This window comes from Homo sapiens, chromosome 4 (assembly GCF_000001405.40).
Source record: "Homo sapiens chromosome 4, GRCh38.p14 Primary Assembly".
Lineage (NCBI taxonomy): Eukaryota > Metazoa > Chordata > Mammalia > Primates > Hominidae > Homo > Homo sapiens.
In genome coordinates this window covers 69,954,394-69,973,847 of record NC_000004.12, presented here as the reverse complement: position 1 = coordinate 69,973,847, position 19,454 = coordinate 69,954,394, and the positions used below count along the sequence as shown (strand labels likewise).

The window sequence follows — 19,454 nt, the reverse complement described above, 5'->3', positions numbered from 1 at the left end:
AATCAATATTGTTAAAATGGTCATATGGCCCAGAGCAATTTACAGATTTGATGCTATTCCTATAAAACTACTAATGGTATTTTTCACAGAATTAGAAAAAAAATTCTAAAATTCATTTGGAATGATAAGGAACCTGAATAACCAAAGCAATTTTAAGCCAAAAGAACAAAGCTGAAGGCATCACACTGTGTGACTTCAAACTATACTACAAGGCTAAAGTAATCAACACATCATGGTACTGGTACAAAAACAGACATGTAGACCAATTGAATAGGTTAGAGAAGCTGGAAATAAAGCCACACACCTACAACGACCAGATCTTTGATAAAGCTGACAGTAAGAAGCAATGAGGAAAGGACTTTCTGGTTGATCAATGGACTTTCTAGTCACTAAATGATAACTGGCTAACAATATGCAGAAGACTGAAACTGGACCCTACTTTTCACCATGTATAGAAATTAACTCATGTTGGATTAAAGACTTAAATGTAAAATCTAAATCTAAAACTTTAAAAACCCCAGAAGAAAACATAGGAAACACCACTCTGGACATTGGCTTGGCAAAGACTCCAAAAAATCTCCCAAAACAATTGCAAAAAACAAAGAAACAAACAAAAAACATTGATAAGTGGGACTTAATGAAACTAAACCGCTTCTGCACACAGAAGAAACTATTGAGTAAACAGACAACCTACAGAATGGGATAAAATATTTACAAACTTTGTACTTAACAAAGGTCTAATATCTAGAATCTATAAGAAACTTAAACAATCAACATGAAGAAATGAACGATCCCATTAAAAATGGGCAAAGGACATGAACAGATACTTCTCAAAAGAAGACACACGTGTGGCCAGCAATCATATGAAACAATGCTCAACATTACTAATCATTAGGGAAATGCAAATCAAAACCACAATAAGTTATCATCTCACACCAGTCAGAATGGCTATTGTTAAAAAGCCAAAAAATAACCGATGCTGGTGAGGTTGTAGAGAAAATGGAATGCTTATACTCTGCTGGTAGGAATGTAAATTAGTTCAGACCCTGTGGAAAGCATTTTGGAGAGTTCTTAAATAACTTAAAATATAGCTCCATTTAATCCAGTAGTCTGATTACTGGCTATATTCCCAAAGCAATACAAATCACTCTGCCATAAAGACATATGCATATGTATGTTCATTGCAGCAATATTAATAATAGCAAAGACATGGAATCAACCTAGAAGCCCATCAGTGGTGGACTGGATAAAGAAAATATTGTGCAGATACACCATATAATATTAATACTATGCAGCTATAAAGAAGAATGATATCATGTCCTTAGCAGCAACATGGATGGAACTGGAGGCTACCCTGAGCAAATTAATGCAGTAACAGAAAACCAAATACTACTTGTTCTCACTTTTTTAAGTGGGAGCTAAACATCAGCAACACATGGACACAAAGAATGGAAAAATAGACATTATGGTTTACTTGAGGCTAGAGGTTGGGAGGAGAGTGAGGATTGAAAAACTTCCTAATGGGTATTATGCTGATTACCTTGGTGACCAAATTATCTGTATACAAATCCTCCACAACATGCAATTTGCCCACATAACAAACTTGTGCATGTATCCCTTGAAACTTACACAAAAGATGAAAAAAAAAGAAAAAGAAAATAAATAAAAATCAAGGAAAAAAATTTACAGGCATACCTCACAGACATTGCAGGTTCACTTCCAGAGCACCACAATGAAGCAAATATTTCAATAAATATAAATAAAGAATTAACCTATCTAAAATGTCAATAGTGCCAAGGTTAAGAAACTCTGGTTTAAAGTATAGTACGTGCTTCATAAATGTATCCTGAGCTTGAATGAAATTTTATGATTATATGGAAAATAAAAGCAGTTAGTATCAAATGAGAAGTGTGTGCTATGAATTAGGGTTATGGGCTTTACGCTTTCATGATACCTGCTTCATGAACGTATTCTCTAAGCTCATATTTCTTATTCCATGATTCTTGATTACCTTTATTAATTAATTTTAGTAGCCATATTTCAGAGAAGATGTCATTGATTATATTCAAATAATCTCATTGAAGGAATTAAAACACTGTATCTGTATAAGAAATGCTACACTATTTCTCTTTATATAATGATTTGTTAATTACATGTCATATTTTTCATAAATTTGAATCATTATATAAATCCCCATGATTTATTTATTTTATTTTCCTTTTTCCTTCTATATTTTGATGAAGTTTTTAAATAGTATTCCAAATATTAGAAGAAAGAGGTTTCCAGTATAAAGTCTCTGTAAATTAGAGATAAAATCTTGACCAAGTTATGGAACTTTGCAGGTCTAAAGTTTTTCCTTCTCTAAAATAACCTTGGAATGTTACATAGACAATATGTAGATCCTCTTCCAGTTATTATTCCTTGAACATTTGATGTCCTTTTATTTTACCCTTTATCCTGCCTTCATATCTGCTTGCTTTCTTCAAGGCTTTATTTACATGGCTGCAGTTATTATCTTTACACTTCACCCACATCTCATGCTTGCGTATCTCATATTCGTCACCCAATATAGAAAAGAGCATTGGGTGAACAAATTCTGTTGCTAACAAATAGTACTAGAACTCTTTGCATTGAATATATCCTGCTTCTCGTTCAGCGCTGTCTTATCAAATTTCAGTGGGTGCAATTCTTTTTTTTATTATACTTTAAGTTCTAGGGTACATGTGCACAACGTGCAGGTTTGTTACATATGTATACATGTGCCCTGTTGGTGTGCTGCACCCATTAACTCGTCATTTACATTAGGTATGTCTCCTAATGCTATTCCTCCCCCCTCCTAATTTTACCTCTGAAAATAACAATTCTCTTTTTTTTTTTTTTGTGACAGAGTCTCGCTCTGTCGCTCAGGTGGCGCGATCTCTGCTCACTGCAAGCTCCGCCTCCAGGGTTCACTCCATTCTCCTGCCTCAGCCTCCCAAGCAGCTGGGACTACAGGCGCCCACCACCACACCCGGCTAATTTTTTGTATTTTAAGTAGAGACGGGGTTTCACCGTGTTAGCCAGGATGGTCTCGATCTCCTGACCTTGTGATCCGCCCGCCTCGGTCTCCCAAAGTGCTGGGATTACAGGCGTGAGCCACAGCGCCCAGCAGAAAATAACAATTATTAAATTGTTCATTGTGAAAGCCTGGGTTGCCCCACATGACATTTTGCTTATTTGTCATTGGGTTCTGATGCTTACTGGGCTCTTAGCACCTGGTTTTATCTTAAACCTCTGGCTTTTCAATTTTTTCTTAGGCAAGCCTCTTATTCTAGTGCTTTCCTTAATCATAGTTTTGCCCACTTTTCTGGGCTAATCAAGTCTGTAATTATACTGATTAGTGTGACTAAAAATTGATGAGCATTACAAGGCTATGTTATATTTATTGCACAATGCATAAAGCATTTTTCTAAGAAAAAACAAATGATATATAGAATGGACAAGGCATGCTTGTTTTTGTATTACTTTCTTAGAAACCTTAACTTTGTTGCCTGTGGCCTTGGCAACTCAGAGCTAAACCACAAAGCCACATTGGGTAGCTAGGGCCTTTCCTATTTGGACTTAGGACGCTGGAGTAATTTCATCATTTCTTTTCCTGGCTTCCTCCTGGCTCAGTATGAACATAAAATGAATATCAGCTGAACAATTCAAATGTATAGTAGACATTGACCTGGGTTTTCTGAGAAATATGAAATATATGTGACAATCAGGAGTGTCCCCCTCATTCATAGATCTAGGATGATATTAATGCAAGGTATATTATAAAGAAAAATAGTTATGTAGGTCTATACTCAGCTTATTTAATTTAGAAGGGCATCTATTTGTGCTTAAGTCCTGAATATATCTGTCATAGGCAGTAAATAGAAAAAATAAAAATTATAAGAATGAGTAACATCCAACACAGTCAGCCAAACACTTATGAATAGCAATCACTAAAGAGGCAAGGAAATTTGTAGACTTATTTTGTAAATGGGCACAACTCAAGTATTTTGAAGCCTACCTCAGTCTCTACTTTCGTACTTTGACCAAGACCCTGCTCTTTTCTGGGATTCAGTATTCTTTTTTGCCTCAATTTTCTGTACTTTCATAAACATTAGCAATCAATATTTACCTACTGGAAAACCAAAACAAAAACAAAGAACGTGAGCTCAAACTTGGTCAGTTTCATTTTAATAAATGTGTACCTGTATCATTTGTTCTCTAAAAATAGCCATTCTCTAAATGTTACTGTCCATCTTAAATTCTTCAATAGATCCCTCCATCTGCAGAATAAAATTCACATTCCTAAGGAGCAAAGCATGCTTTGTCCATCGTCGTCTGATTGCTTTCTCTTTTTGTGTTCACATTTTCATCCTCTCTCTTCCTTGAACTTCATTATCCAGGTTCACTACTTGATTTAGTTCTAGTTACTTGTTTCTCATATCCAAGACTACAGTCTTTAACTATTTTTAGCTAGAATTCTCTATCCTCCTCGATTAACTGCTTTATCTGGCTTCAAGATTCTGCTCAGGACTCATGGCCTCATGGAGATTCTATTTTCCTCTCCCATGAATCAACTAAAATGAACTAAGTATTCTCCTTCTGTCAATTGCACCTTCTTACTGCTTTATTAGCATATTCCTTACATGTCGTAACAAGTAGATTTTTATGTCTGTTTTCCCACGAAGGTTTTGACCTCCTTGAGGTCAAATGTATCTTTTATTTTTCATTTCATTCTGGATAATTTAGGAAATGCCTGCAAACATAGATATTTAATATGAAATACATTTTCCTCTAACAAACTTTATGTTCACCTATTTTCAGCATTCTGAATGTATGGCTATTCCTTGGATCTAGTCATCATACAGAAATTCTCTTCTTTCTAATGCTGAAATTCCCAAATGAAAAAATCTCTGTTTTTGTACTTCTCAAAATTGGTATCTTCTTAGGCCAGGTCTTTGCCTTTCTTGCCATCTCTAGTCATTCAAGCCCTCTTTTTAGTATGTTAGCTTAAACAATACCTGATGGTTTGCCATTTTTAACACAAACACTAATAATCCCAACCCTATCCTAACAATTCTCTTAACCTATTGATACTAAATCTCCGCCATCTTGCCATACAACTACTTAGATAAAAAAATCTGATATATAATCTCATATAAGTCATAATTATTGCTCGTGGATTTGTTATTCATTTTCATTTTCACATTAACCAAAAATTTCTGCTCTTTCAAAATTACATATATTTAAGATGTACAACATGATGTTTTGATACTTATATAGTGAAATGATTACTGTAGTCAAGCAAATTAATATGTCCATCACCTCACATAGGTTACTCTTTTTATCTTGTGGTAAGAACATCTAAAATCTACTTTCAGCAAATTTTTATTATACAATAAAATATTAATGATTATCATCCTCACACTGTACATTACATGTCTAAACTTATTCATCCTACATAACTGCAGCTTTGTTTCCTTTGACCTACATCTCCTTATCTATCTTCCACCCTGAACCCCTGATACCCATCCTTCTACTCTTTGTTTCTATATATTCAATTTTTAAAACAAGATTCCACATATAAATAACATTGTGTAATATTCGTCCTTCTGTATCTGGCTTAGTTGACTTAAAGATTCAACTATGTATAACCATGTCCTTCAATTTCAGTTGAGAACTCCCCCTTTCACCTCACTAGAACATTAAGACCATTTAACTTCAACTTCTCTACCTTTTATCTCAAACATGTATTGTATCTACTTATCTTCTTATTCCTTTTTGTTTTCTTAGGAAAACTGGTACATTTTTTATAGGTCTTATTCTTTTCTCCATGACTGTACAGGAACTTGTTCCATTAATTTACTCCCACTTCTTTGGTATGTTTCAACTCTTTCCTTATTGGCCTCTTTCTTGTAAGCTACAAGTCTTCCTTACCCTAAAAATACCTTCCCGTGGTTCTGATTATCCCTGTACACCTAGTCACAATCTTACAGTTCTCCTTATCTCCTCTTCTAAGTTTCTCAGAAGGGCAGTACACATATGTTACTTTTAATTCCTCACAAATTACTTACTTCTTAACCATTTGGAGTGTATCTCAATCAGCTGTGTAGCATTTCACTGTTGACCTCACTTGCTTCCTCTAGCAATGCAGGATATCAAGGAGAGGAAGTGGATTCTGTACTCTCTTATTCTTGATATCGCAGGTTTTTTTTTTTCCTATTTCCTTTTGCTATACCAGCCCCTGTAAAAGAAAGGATACTTGAATTTTGTTTTGTACAATTTCTTTTCTCACTTGATACTCTTTCCCTAGAGACCTTCACTTACTCCTTTGAAGGGAGAAATTACCTTTAAAAATTATACTCATGATTATTTCTTGAGTATCACATTTAATTTAAAACATCTTCTGGACACCTTCAAATTTACCACGTACAAGGTTTTACTCAGTGTTTCATTTCTAATTTCAGCCTGGTTTCATATTTTGATTTATAACATGGCTAACTTTTCAGTCACTCAGGCATAATATATTAATTCATTTCCCCAATTTTTCACATTTCTCGTATTTTAATGAGAAGTTTGTCTTTTTATTGCCTAAGATGCCCAGGACCATTTCCCTACTTGAGATCATCATAATGTCTGTCTTAGGCTACTGCAATAACATAACATAACAACTTCCTTTACTAGGTTACCTGATTTGTTGTCATAAAGTCATGAAATCCAAGAAATTTTACAATCCATTTTTCTTTCAAATCTCTAATATATTTGCTTCCACTGAATTATGTCACAGTGCATGCCTGACATTCACAGTCATCCATGATCTGATTCTATCAAACCTCTGCAATTGTAACTTGCAATGTATGCCCTCTGAATATCCTCAAACTGGTATGTTGCTCTTTCAGTTCCTGTGTTTTCTTCAGCCAAAATATCTATCCCCATTTAATCATCTCGCAAAATTCTACTCATTCTCTAAGGCTCAACTAAAAGAGCAGTTCCTTAATGGCAAGCTCCCCTGCCACACACAGCACAGAGGCCCTACTTTTCCAATTCAGGCATAATTAAATTGTACATATTTCAACCAAATGCTACATTGATAGATAAATTTTATAAAAAATTATCAGAAGGTTAAAACATGGGCTCTGAGACTCACATGTGATCAAACAGAATCACATGTAGTCAGACAGATCTGAGTCCAACTGGTATCTTTGCCATTAACAATATGGTTTTGAGCAAGTTACTTAACCTTTTGGCATCTCTGTTTTCTCAACCTAAATATGAAGAGGAGAGCTACCTCATGATGTTCTTGTGCAGATTATACAAGATAATATCTTTGCTTAGTGCTTGGCAAAGGGTTAGAACTAAGCAAAAAAACCCATCATTAATATTATCATAATTATGCTTGACCTGAAAAGAGATAATCAATATTAAAAGGTAAATAAAACTCCGTGATACTTTGCAAAATTTTTATTACAGATTTACTGAAGATTTTGCCTATACCAGCCACCCAGATTCCCTCTTCAAGTTATTCCATTACAGAGGAAAGTTTATTTATCTTGTGTACAAAATATTTGTTTTAACTAAATTATTTTTTTTTCCAAATCAAGTGGCCCTGGGAGAAACAGTTTGCCTCACATAACTAAGCTACCATCATGGACTTGTTATCTTGTCAGTTTCTTCATTTCAGCATAAAGCACTAACAACTGCTTAGGTTCACATGAAACTGTGGCCTTTGTGAAGCCCTGTGTATATCTAGCGTTCACATACAATTTTCCCACAACTGAAATCTCAAGGCCCCACTAGGCCCTAAAGAGACCTAATTATGTCCATAATAACTTGGGGACAGGGCCAGAGTATCACTGTCCTCCAGTCATTGTCTTTTGTTATTGAATAATTGCATTTCCTGGACAGGTTTCTTTTATCAACTTGTGAATTGTTCCCTTGTTATAATGATGCCCAGAATTTCTGGGGATATGTAATAGGCAGAAATCATTTTCTAATCATGTGGACTTCTTGGAATTAAAGCTCGCTATTGATCTTATTTCAAATCACAAAATTAGTGTGTCATTAAATATAGTATATAAACAGTCACAGAAGCTGATGGACCATCATCCATCCAGCACTACCTTCACTTCTCTTCAATCTTGGAAAAACGGTAAGAATTTTAGATACAAATTTGTTGTATCTTCTCCTAACCATGTATTTCAAAGTAGCTTGAGCTATAGAAGGAACGTAGTTACTTAAAATATAGTGTTTGAAATAAAAGTATTTAAGGTAGTACTGAGATTATTTTTAACACTTAGGCTAAAAAAGATAGAAGTGCCCAGAAGAATTTGGTAATGACATATAGCCTTCATGAGTTTAAGAAAATATAATAGCTAATTTTATGCATATATATATATATATATATATATATATATATATATAGTATGAGGCTAGTTCATAGTTAATATTAAAAGGAGATTCATTTTTTTAATTAATCTTCCAATTTGATTTAGCATATCACAGTTATAAAAAGAATTATACTTCAATTATAGTATGGGTAGATAAATAATTACTGGAAAAGCTTTGTCCAGCAGGTAGTTTACAGCAGTAGCATACTGAGTTGAGAAATGGAGGGAATGGTATGGGGGCATTTACTACTTTAAATGTTTATAAACAATGTTTTTAGAAGAGTTTACTCATCAAACTTGTCTAGAGCCTCAAACTTCCCAGTTTATTATCTAGTTTGTAATATTTCAAAACAATATTAAAATGAGACAGAAATACAGAATTAAGTAAAAAAGAAACAATGTGGTTTACTTTGTAAGAAAATTCTTAATGGGGTAGAAAAGACTTGGAAACCATAAACAAAGATAATAGATGATATAAAAGAAAAAGTAGCTTAGAGTGTACCAGTTGATAATGAAGCTCTGGCTTAAAAATTAGTATATAAAAGTATACCAGTATGTAGTATATTTATAGTATAGAAATGAGTATAAAAACTAGTATAATTAGTATTAGTATATATTAGTATATTAGTATATAAATTAGCATTGTAATTATACATTCGTATATAAAATTATTATATATATTAGTAGATTAGTAATAAAACTAGTAAAGTTTATATTACTTATAAAATATAGAAAATGCTGTGGGATCTTCCCTATGTGTAATTATATATAATAGAGTGTTATATTCTGTTTCTGAACCCTGACATAAAAATTTGGGAACTTATAGTGGTCTTAGGCAAAGTAAAATTAATAAAAACTTAATTAACATTCATAAAAAATCTAGAAAAAATATTTGTTTTCTGTAATAGAATTATGTTCAACCTTCAAATATTGAAAAGAACATCTCTCAAATAAATTAAAGACTTTTTTGATGAAGTATTTTAGTTCAAAAATTTAGTTCAAAAATTGAGTTTCAATATCTGAGAATGAAGATTTGAGTGGTGAGTAATATTGTGGCACAAACATTATTTTGAAATAAATTACAAAAAAATGTAAGAACACATAACAAGGAGATGATTTAGTATATTTTGGTCAAAAATATTAACATATATTTCACAAGAAGAGGTAGTCCCAAGCTTAGCAGTGGGCAAGAGGCTCTGACCCCTTGGCGGATCATCAAGAGAATCGTGTGTACATTTCAATAAAGAGAAGAGAAGAAGCCTAGTGTACAATATCTAAAGTCATGTGGCATAAAGGAGAACAGACATTATTAGCTATGTGGGGAAGATGAATATAAACGGAGAAGAAACAAACTCAATAGTCCAATAAAGTCTCTGGATAGTGACACAAATAAGGAAAGTGTTAAAATGAAAACCTCAGTCTTATTGGAAATGAGGAGAAATAAACTAAAATAGTCATGGTAACCGTTTAGTGAAAAGAAAAAAGGTAAAAATAAAATGTGACTTTTTTGTACACATTTTCTTGATCAGTCTCTTCCAGTAGAACTGAGGCTCCATGAGGGAGTAATATCAGGACTGTAATATTTTGTTCATTGCTGCGGTCCTGGTCCCTAGACAGTGTCTGGCAAGAACAGATTCTAAAGAAATATTTTTAAGTTAATGAATAAATCTTTTTTTAAATTTTATTTGTCTTTTGAAATTATTATTATTATACTTTAAGTTTTAGGGTACATGTGCACAAAGTGCAGGTTTGTTACATATGTATACATGTGCCATGTTGGTGTGCTGCACCCATTAACACGTCATTTAACATTAGGTATATCTCCTAATGCTATCCCTCCCCACTCCCCCCACCCCACAACAGCCCCGGTGTGTGATGTTCCCCTTCCTGTGTCCGTGTGTTCCCATTGTTCAATTCCCACCTATGAGTGAGAACATGTGGTGTTTGGTTTTTTTGTCCTTGCGATAGTTTGCTGAGAATGATGGTTTCCAGCTTCATCCATGTCCCTACAAAGGACATGAACTCATCATTTTTTATGGCTGCATAGTATTCCATGGTGTATATGTGCCACATTTTCTTAATCCAGTCTATCATTGTTGGACATTTGGGTTGGTTCCAAGTCTTTGCTATTGTGAATAGTGCCGCAATAAACATACATGTGTATGTGTCTTTATAGCAGCATGATTTATAATCCTTTGGGTATATACCCAGTAATGGGATGGCTAGGTCAAATGGTATTCCTAGCTCTAGATCCCTGAGGAATCGCCACACTGACTTCCACAATGGTTGAACTAGTTTACAGTCCCACCAACAGTGTAAAAGTGTTCCTATTTCTCCACATCCTCTCCAGCACCTGTTGTTTCCTGACTTTTTAATGATCGCCATTCTAACTGGTGTGAGATGGTATCTCATTGTGGTTTTGATTTGCATTTCTCTGATGGCCAGTGATGATGAGCATTTTTTCATGTGATTTTTGGCTGTATAAATGTCTTCTTTTGAGAAGTGTTTGTTCATATCCTTTGCCCACTTTTTGATGGGGTTGTTTGTTTTTTTCTTGTAAATTTGTTGGAGTTCATTGTAGATTCTGGATATTAGCCCTTTGTCAGATGAGTAGATTGCAAAAATTTTCTCTCATTCTGCAGGTTGCCTGTTCACTCTGATGGTAGTTTCTTTTGCTGTGCAGAAGTTCTTTAGTTTAATTAGATCCCATTTGTCAATTTTGGCTTTTGTTGCCATTGCTTTTGGTCTTTTACACATGAAGTCCTTGCCCATGCCTATGTCCTGAATGGTATTGCCTAGGTTTTCTTCTAGGGTTTTTATGGTTTTAGGTCTGACATGTAAGTCTTTAATCCACCTTGAATTAATTTTTGTATAAGGTGTAAGGAAGGGACCCGGTTTCAGCTTTCTACATATGGCTAGCCAGTTTTCCCAGCACCATTTATTAAATAGGGAATCCTTTCCCCATTGCTTGTTTTTGTCAGCTTTGTCAAAGATCAGATAGTTGTAGACATGCGGCATTATTTCTGAGGGCTCTTTCCTGTTCCATTGGTCTTGGTATCAGTTTTGGTACCAAGTACCATGCTGTTTTGGTTACTGTAGCCTTGTAGTATAGTTTGAAGTCAGGTAGCATGATGCCTCCAGCTTTGTTCTTTTGGCTTAGGATTTACTTGGCAATGTGGCCTCTTTTTTGGTTCCATATGAACTTTAAAGTAGTTTTTTTCAATTCTGTGAAGAAAGTCATTGGTAGCTTAATGGGGATGGCATTGAATCTATAAATTACCTTGGGCAGTATGGCCATTTTCATGATATTGATTCTTCCTACCCATGAGCATGGAATGTTCTTCCATTTGTTTGTATCCTCTTTTATTTCCTTGAGCAGTGGTTTGTAGTTCTCCTTGGAGAGGTCCTTCTCATCCCTTGTAAGTTGGATTCCTAGGGATTTTATTCTCTTTGAAGCAATTTTGAATGGGAGTTCACTCATGATTTGGCTCTCTGTTTGTCTGTTATTGGTGTATATGAATGCTTGTGATTTTTGCACATTGATTTTGTATCCTGAGACTTTGCTGAAGTTGCTTATCAGCTTAAGGAGACTTTGGGCTGAGACGATGGGGTTTTCTAGATACACAGTCATGTCATCTGCAAACAGGGACAATTTGACTTCCTCTTTTCCTAATTGAATGACCTTTATTTCCTTCTCCTGCCTAATTGCCCTGGCCAGAACTTCCAACACTATGTTGAATAGGAGTGGTGAGAGAGGGCATCCCTGTCTTGTGCCAATTTTTAACGGGAATGCTTCCAGTTTTTGTCCATTCAGTATGATATTGGCAGTGGGTTTGTCATAGATAGCTCTTATTATTTTGAGATATGTCCCATCAATACCTAAATTATTGAGAGTTTTTAGCATGAAGTGTTGTTGAATTTTGTCAAAGGCCTTTTCTGCATCTATTGAGATAATCATGTGGTTTTTGTCTTTGGTTTTGTTTATATGCTGGATTACATTTATTGATTTTCGTATGTTGAACCAGCCTTGCATCCCAGGGATGAAGCCCACTTGATCATGGTGGATAAGCTTTTTGATGTGTTGCATAAATCTTTCCATACATATTTATAACTTCTTTATGCCTTTTGAAAAATTCAATACTGTAAATGGGACTTTTTTAAAAGTGGGGATAGAGTTGTTAGCTGAAAAATCTGAATAGCTGGCAATGAAGTTTGGAATTTGAAAAATGAGAATCGCAAGCCAGAATGGATTTTGACCTCCTTCATGTGATATAACTTCTATTTAGTATTTATTCTATTTATTTTCTAAATGCAGATATTTTTGTTATATATTATCTCTCTTTTTTTTTTGTTTTATAAAAAGTAACCTTACCTACATAAGAAAGTATATCCAATTGACCAATCTTCCACCATTCCATTTTTTCTACATTCACAGGACTTAGTAGCCATGAAGGTCCTCATCCTCGCCTGCCTGGTGGCTCTTGCTCTTGCAAGGGAGGTATGTGCACAAGAAAAAATTCCTAAACAATCAATAAATAGTGGACTATATGCTTATTTGTAGAGAATAACATCACCAACATTTTTTACTGTATAAATAATGAAGAATTTCATGAGAATTCTCTTGGCTTCTATCAAAATCATTTATATTTACCCACTGTCTCAACAGTTTCCTATAGTGCCCCAAATGCTTCCTGCACCAATGTGCTGCTAGTCACTAAAGAAAAAGCAAACAAATCAATAAGTAATAAAAAATCATAAAAATGGCAACGAAATATAATATTGCATAAATACAACTCCAAAGATTCTCAAGCTAGATAAATATATCTTATTCCAGTGATAAAATGTATATATACCTTACAGCCTAGGGCACTGGGTCAAATCCTGTGTCTGTCTGTACAAAGACATCCATGGGATGAAGTACAGAGACAATCATAATCATGATCATAAATATATTAATAATAATATAATAAAAATATTTAATACAAATTAAAGTGACTCTTCTTTTACCCATAAAAAACTCTGTCTTTAATAAATGTAAGATAAAAATATATTAATAGATTACTAAATATAAAAGACATTAAAGTAATTACCTTTTAAACCTCAAAAGTCATATAACATTTTTTATTTCTCAAATTTGTGAAAGAGATAGCTCTGCATAAGTGATGTAAAAATTAAGTAGGATGCATGTTTAACAATGAGTTAGCTATAGAAGTTGAATTTTTAAACATCTTTTCAGAAGGAACAATCCAATGCATCCTCTGAGGTGAGATTATTTTTTTAGAGAAAATTTATGAACCATAAAATAGTAAAATTCTCTAATGATCTAGAAGATTTAGCTGGTTGTCAATTTTTTTTTCCCACAGACCATAGAAAGCCTTTCAAGCAGTGAGGTAAGTTAACATTCTACCCAATTTTAGAACAGTAAAATCCTGTGCTATTTTTCTATGGTGTTACATCATGGCAGTTAAGCTAATGCAGCTATGTTAATGACATATAAGTTCTAGTACATATTTCTTTTATGTGTGTTTAAGGACAATAAGTATCTGGATAATACAACATTCTAGAACTTTGTAAATTGGCTTGCTACTTGAAATTGTGTTATTTTGCTTCTTTTTTTTTTAATGAACCATATTGTCCTGTTTTCTGCCTTGAACTCTCTTTACTCTGAACTTATTCACCTTAAGCATATACTGACGGCCTTCTATGGGTCAGACATTGACTAGGAGCTGTGGTACAAACTGAAAAGTTAGAGATGCCAGTGATAGTTAAGAGCTTGCTAAGTAGTAGGTAGGCAGACGTGCAAAAAGGACACATTTTATAATTACAATAGCCACTTTAGTAAATAAGCGAGATTTAGTGTAGTCCTAAATTTACCTGAGAGAGTCAGGTAGATATTTATTCTTACACCACTCTTCTTGGGTGTGTGATCACTTGATAAGTAAATGGTACATCAATAGATTCTGTCTCTTCAGAAAGGTTATATGATCCTTAAGGGAAGTGTTTAACTCTTATGATTCATTTGAAGTGATCATAATGTATCAATTGTTATTAGAATATATTTTCAATGAGTATTTCTTTTTTTAAAAATCAGATGGGGTTTTAGATATCATTTGTTGTCAGGGAATGAGCATGGTGGTAGAGAGAAATTAGCATCTATTAATTGCTTTTTTTTGTACCATGTCCTTCTTGACTGCATTCATCTGACTTTCTTTTACATAACAAGCTCATATAGAACAGTTTAATACATAAGTTTAATGATTATACAAAGTTATTAATGATATTATCAAAGAATTAATGCCTTTATTTCCTGATTTATATTGCAAAGTAAGAATTGTTAAAACTAAACCTAATTTTATTTTATATTTTTCTGTAGGAATCTATTACAGAATACAAGGTAAATTTTCACATTTAAAATGTACACATTTTCAAAATTTCCTCCTTTTAATCTTTACAGATGGTAACATATCTTTATATATGATATATCTTTAGCAGAAAGTTGAGAAGGTTAAACATGAGGACCAGCAGCAAGGAGAGGTAATTTGTTAATGATAAGTATATGTTTAAAATTATTATAAAGTATAATACATACAAAAATATTTATAATGTGTATGTTGATTCTAAAGAATGATAATAAAATAAATGCCATATACCCACCAACCACTTTAAAAATTAAACATTGATAAAGTCAATATATTTTCTAGGATATGCATGCATTTTTAAACTCATAATTAATTTCTAGAATACAGACTAAATACATAATGATATTACTAATGGTATATCTGTTTTCAACAAGTACACATTGGTGGGAACATTTCCAGGTTGGGAACTATGATCCTCTTATTTCCAAGGTGGATATGGTAATGAAAAGGTGTATACGGCTGGTAAAAAAACCTATGTAAAATTTGTCCCATATTGCCTTTATTCCCATATGGACAACACAAAATCCTGTATTTCATTAAATTACATTTATGGTGATATGTTTACCCAATTATAATTTTCAATTGCTTTGTGTACCAATGAATTGTTTGGAGTCACATAAAATATTTCTAAAATCAAATTTAAACAAAAAAATTGATGTCTCTTGAAAGACTCAAGAGACTATCTTCTCCCAAGGGAAGGAATGTAAGAATTTGGCCGGTGTTAAATTACTTCCTGAGATTAGCCACAAATTAAGACTGATTTTCTTTTTCATCAAACCAAAACAAAACAAAAATAAACCTTGGAATTGTCCCTCTAAGTCTTTTTAAACTGATCTCTTTTCACTGTATGAAAACAATTTGGTCTACTATTGGCACAACTGTGTTGAAAAGTAAATTCTCTCTGAAGACCAAAGTGTACAGCTACAGCTATCCAGGCAATTCAGGAAAATGTTAAAAAAAGTGTTTCTGAAATATCCAAACATTGATTTCACTTTGGCCTGTGGAGTTACCCATGAAGTGAGTGGATTAAAATTTTTCAACAAACAGTTTACTCATTTTTCTTCGCATGACTCAAGATACTTTCTTAACCAAAATAAGTGAAATATTTTCTCCTCTCTTTTTACTCATTTATCATTGTCTAAAAGAGAGAAATGAATTCATTATGAATGGCAATTATAGCTTAATCAAGGACTCAAAGATTCTTTTTCCTTCTTTCCAGGATGAACACCAGGATAAAATCTACCCCTCTTTCCAGCCACAGCCTCTGATCTATCCATTCGTTGAACCTATCCCCTATGGTTTTCTTCCACAAAACATTCTGCCTCTTGCTCAGCCTGCTGTGGTGCTGCCTGTCCCTCAGCCTGAAATAATGGAAGTCCCTAAAGCTAAAGACACTGTCTACACTAAGGGCAGAGTGATGCCTGTCCTTAAATCTCCAACGATACCCTTTTTTGACCCTCAAATCCCAAAACTCACTGATCTTGAAAATCTGCATCTTCCTCTGCCTCTGCTCCAGCCCTTGATGCAGCAGGTCCCTCAGCCTATTCCTCAGACTCTTGCACTTCCCCCTCAGCCCCTGTGGTCTGTTCCTCAGCCCAAAGTCCTGCCTATCCCCCAGCAAGTGGTGCCCTACCCTCAGAGAGCTGTGCCTGTTCAAGCCCTTCTGCTCAACCAAGAACTTCTACTTAACCCCACCCACCAGATCTACCCTGTGACTCAGCCACTTGCCCCAGTTCATAACCCCATTAGTGTAAGTCCAAATTTACTGGCTTTGCTGTTTCATTCAAGATGTGTATGTGATGGTAGAATAAAAGAATAAATGTAGAGTAAATGAATTAAAAAAACAGTTTAGATAAGTGATTCTTTTATTATTATACTTTAAGTTTTAGGGTACATGTGCACAACATGCAGGTTAGTTACATATGTATACATGTGCCATGTTGGTGTGCTGCACCCATTAACTCGTCATTTAACATTAGGTATATCTCCTAATGCTATCCCTACCCCCTACCCCCACCCCACGACAGGTCCAGGTGTGTGATGTTCCCCTTCCTGTGTCCATGTGTTCTCATAGATAAGTGATTCTTAATGCTTACCTATACAATAGAATCACCTGGAGAACTTTTCCCCACAAATCCCAATGCCTAAGCTTACCCAGAGATTCTGATATAATTGTTCTAGTTTTTTGTGTAGAGGAAACTGAGTGTTGAGAAAAAAACTATTGCATGAATTCTGGTTTAATTAGTCTGTTGAGAATTCTGATTTAGATAAAGTAATTAAGGCTTACAAAAGCCGGAATTAAATTTAATAATATGATTGAATTTGGAAAAAAAAGCTAAAAAATGTTCTGTCATTTTCCTTGTGCACATCTCTTTTACACAAGCCTTACTTCACATCTTGTTTTTGCTATAAGTATATATGAAGGCAAAAGACTGAGATGCTTATTTCACTACTTACAACATTCTTAAGGCAAGTTTTCTTACTAAGAGGTTATTTATTTATTTATTTATTTATTTATTTTACACAAGCCTTACTTCACATCTGGTTTTTGCTGTAAATATATATGAAGGCAAAAGACGGAGATGCTTATTTCACTACTTACAACATTCTTAAGGCAAGTTTTCTTACTAAGAGGTTATTTATTTATTTGTATCTGTTTATTTTTAAGGTCTAAGAAGATTTCAAAGTTAATTTTCCCTCCTTATTTTTGGTAAGTTTTGGGAGTTTGGAGATTTAATTGATCATTTTTATACATGATGTCTTTTTACATTTAATTCTCCTAGAGAAGTCCAATACAGTGAAAATTTCATACATACAAGAACTTTTTTTATTAATTATCAATTTAATGGTTGACTATCATTTACTGACCTGAAACTATCTATCTTTTGCATTTCAAATAACTTTAATTTTATTTATGTACTATTGACAGATTTGACTGGCTTGCTTTCAAGGGCCTATATACTTACATTTGATTATCACTATTTTTAGGAAAGACAGAATATATACTTATTTTACTTTTATGGAAATACATTTGAGCTTTTGTCAAAAGCCTATTTGCATTTTTATTTCTAACCTAGCCTTCATAAAATTTGTATTTACTTTACTTAAAATTATCTTTTAATTCATGAGTTAAAATTACTCCAAGTGTAAAGGTTAAAAAGAGGAGAGAACAGCATTGCAATTCTAAGATATAAAGCCTTTTGGGATTATGAAATACCAGACATTTCACTGAAACAATTTCAAGTTCACTAATATTTGATGAACTTTGGTGAAGTTTGGTGAACAAACTTTACATGCCTCCAAACCGCAACAGAATGCATTTGCAATACAATTTCTTTTGTGAATTAGTCACACCAAAGTTAAAAGTGAAGAGAGTTGAATAGTTACGTGTTATAACATAACTAATTATATATTTGCTCTCTATTCCACAGAATTGACTGAGACTGGAAATATGATGCCTTTTCCGTCTTTGTATCACGTTACCCCAAATTAAGTATGTTTGAATGAGTTTATATGGAAAAAATGAACTTTGTCCCTTTATTTATTTTATATATTATGTCATTCATTTAATTTGAAATTTGACTCATGAACTATTTACATTTTCCAAATCTTAATTCAACTAGTACCACAGAAGTTCAATACTCATTTGGAAATGCTACAAACATATCAAACATATGTATACAAATTGTTTCTGGAATTGTGCTTATTTTTATTTCTTTAAGAATCTATTTCCTTTCCAGTCATTTCAATAAATTATTCTTAAGCATATTTCAGTTCTTCTGTCTTTTTTTCAAACCTAATCGGCCTCTTTAATGTTAACTTTGATTTATTATTGATGTTCAAAATAATCCTGGAAGAATGCTTTGAAATTGAATAGAATGTTTTGAATTGAATATTAAAAGATATCAAAAAGTGGAGGAAAAGAAAGGATGCTTTTATACTCCATTTGCTATAGAAAGTTTTGGGTTATGCCTATTTTCCCAGTGTCATTATTATAGCTATGCCTTTCACTTTCAAAATGATCCAGCATTGGATGTTAAATTTTGTGGTGACCCTGGGAAAAAAACTTTAAATGTGAAACCTGAAACACAACTTGCCACAGGTAGCTATGTGATGTTGTAAGAGCTTTAATTGCCACATGGATAAAATAGTGCAAAGAATTTTACTGAAGATTTGATTACATATTAGTAACATGATGAGTGTACTGTATAGTAAATGATAGATGATCCCTATTGCTCCACATTGCTGACATTGCTTATACCACAGCACCAAAGCATTCTAACAAATCAAAATGAACTGGGTAATGTGGTGTTAGCCAGCAACGCTGAAGAAAGTAAGGGATGTGAAACTCTGACAGCCATTAATTCTAACTGTGAAGTAGTTGTTTATTGTGATTGATTTTCTCTCTTTCTATACCAACTCCTCCACTTGTACATTCAATTATATCTTCCTGAGTTTATGCAGTGACTCATGTCTAGCAATTATCCCATCTTTCTTATATTTCCAGTGTTTCCCTGGCCCTTATTACAACATAAGCATCATGGAAGACCTGCTTATACTATAATATCTCCCATCATTAAAGAAAAAATCTGCTTCCTTAACACTGTACCTCCAAACCTCTCCCAATTAT

General features: G+C 33.6%; 1 protein-coding gene across 3 annotated transcripts; it reads left to right on the top strand.

The window, feature by feature from the left end:
• Positions 1 to 8,119: 8,119 nt before the first annotated feature.
• On the top strand, positions 8,120 to 18,592 carry CSN2 (casein beta). 3 transcript variants are annotated; one of them, NM_001302770.2, is made up of 8 exons: positions 8,120 to 8,167; positions 12,841 to 12,903; positions 13,769 to 13,795; positions 14,779 to 14,799; positions 14,898 to 14,939; positions 16,044 to 16,574; positions 17,493 to 17,534; positions 18,256 to 18,592. In NM_001302770.2, exons 2-7 carry the CDS (start codon positions 12,853 to 12,855, stop codon positions 17,496 to 17,498), a joined length of 678 nt encoding a protein of 225 aa, NP_001289699.1. In that variant the 5' UTR covers positions 8,120 to 8,167; positions 12,841 to 12,852; the 3' UTR covers positions 17,499 to 17,534; positions 18,256 to 18,592. The 3 variants fall into 3 exon arrangements, with proteins under 3 accessions (NP_001289699.1, NP_001882.1, NP_001372660.1); NM_001891.4 differs by having other exon boundaries at positions 14,895 to 14,939; NM_001385731.1 differs by lacking the exon at positions 14,898 to 14,939.
• The last annotated feature ends 862 nt before the right edge of the window (positions 18,593 to 19,454 follow it).

What these genes read in the sequence shown, in the direction of transcription:
- CSN2 (NM_001891.4), top strand. Translation starts at nt 12,853, where the DNA reads ATGAAGGTCCTCATCCTCGCCTGCCTGGTGGCTCTTGCTCTTGCAAGG. An exon ending in CTCTTGCTCTTGCAAGGGAG is followed by an intron (nt 12,904 to 13,768) that starts GTATGTGCACAA and finishes TTTTTCCCACAG; the next exon opens with ACCATAGAAAGCCTTTCAAG. An exon ending in AATCTATTACAGAATACAAG is followed by an intron (nt 14,800 to 14,894) that starts GTAAATTTTCAC and finishes ATATATCTTTAG; the next exon opens with CAGAAAGTTGAGAAGGTTAA.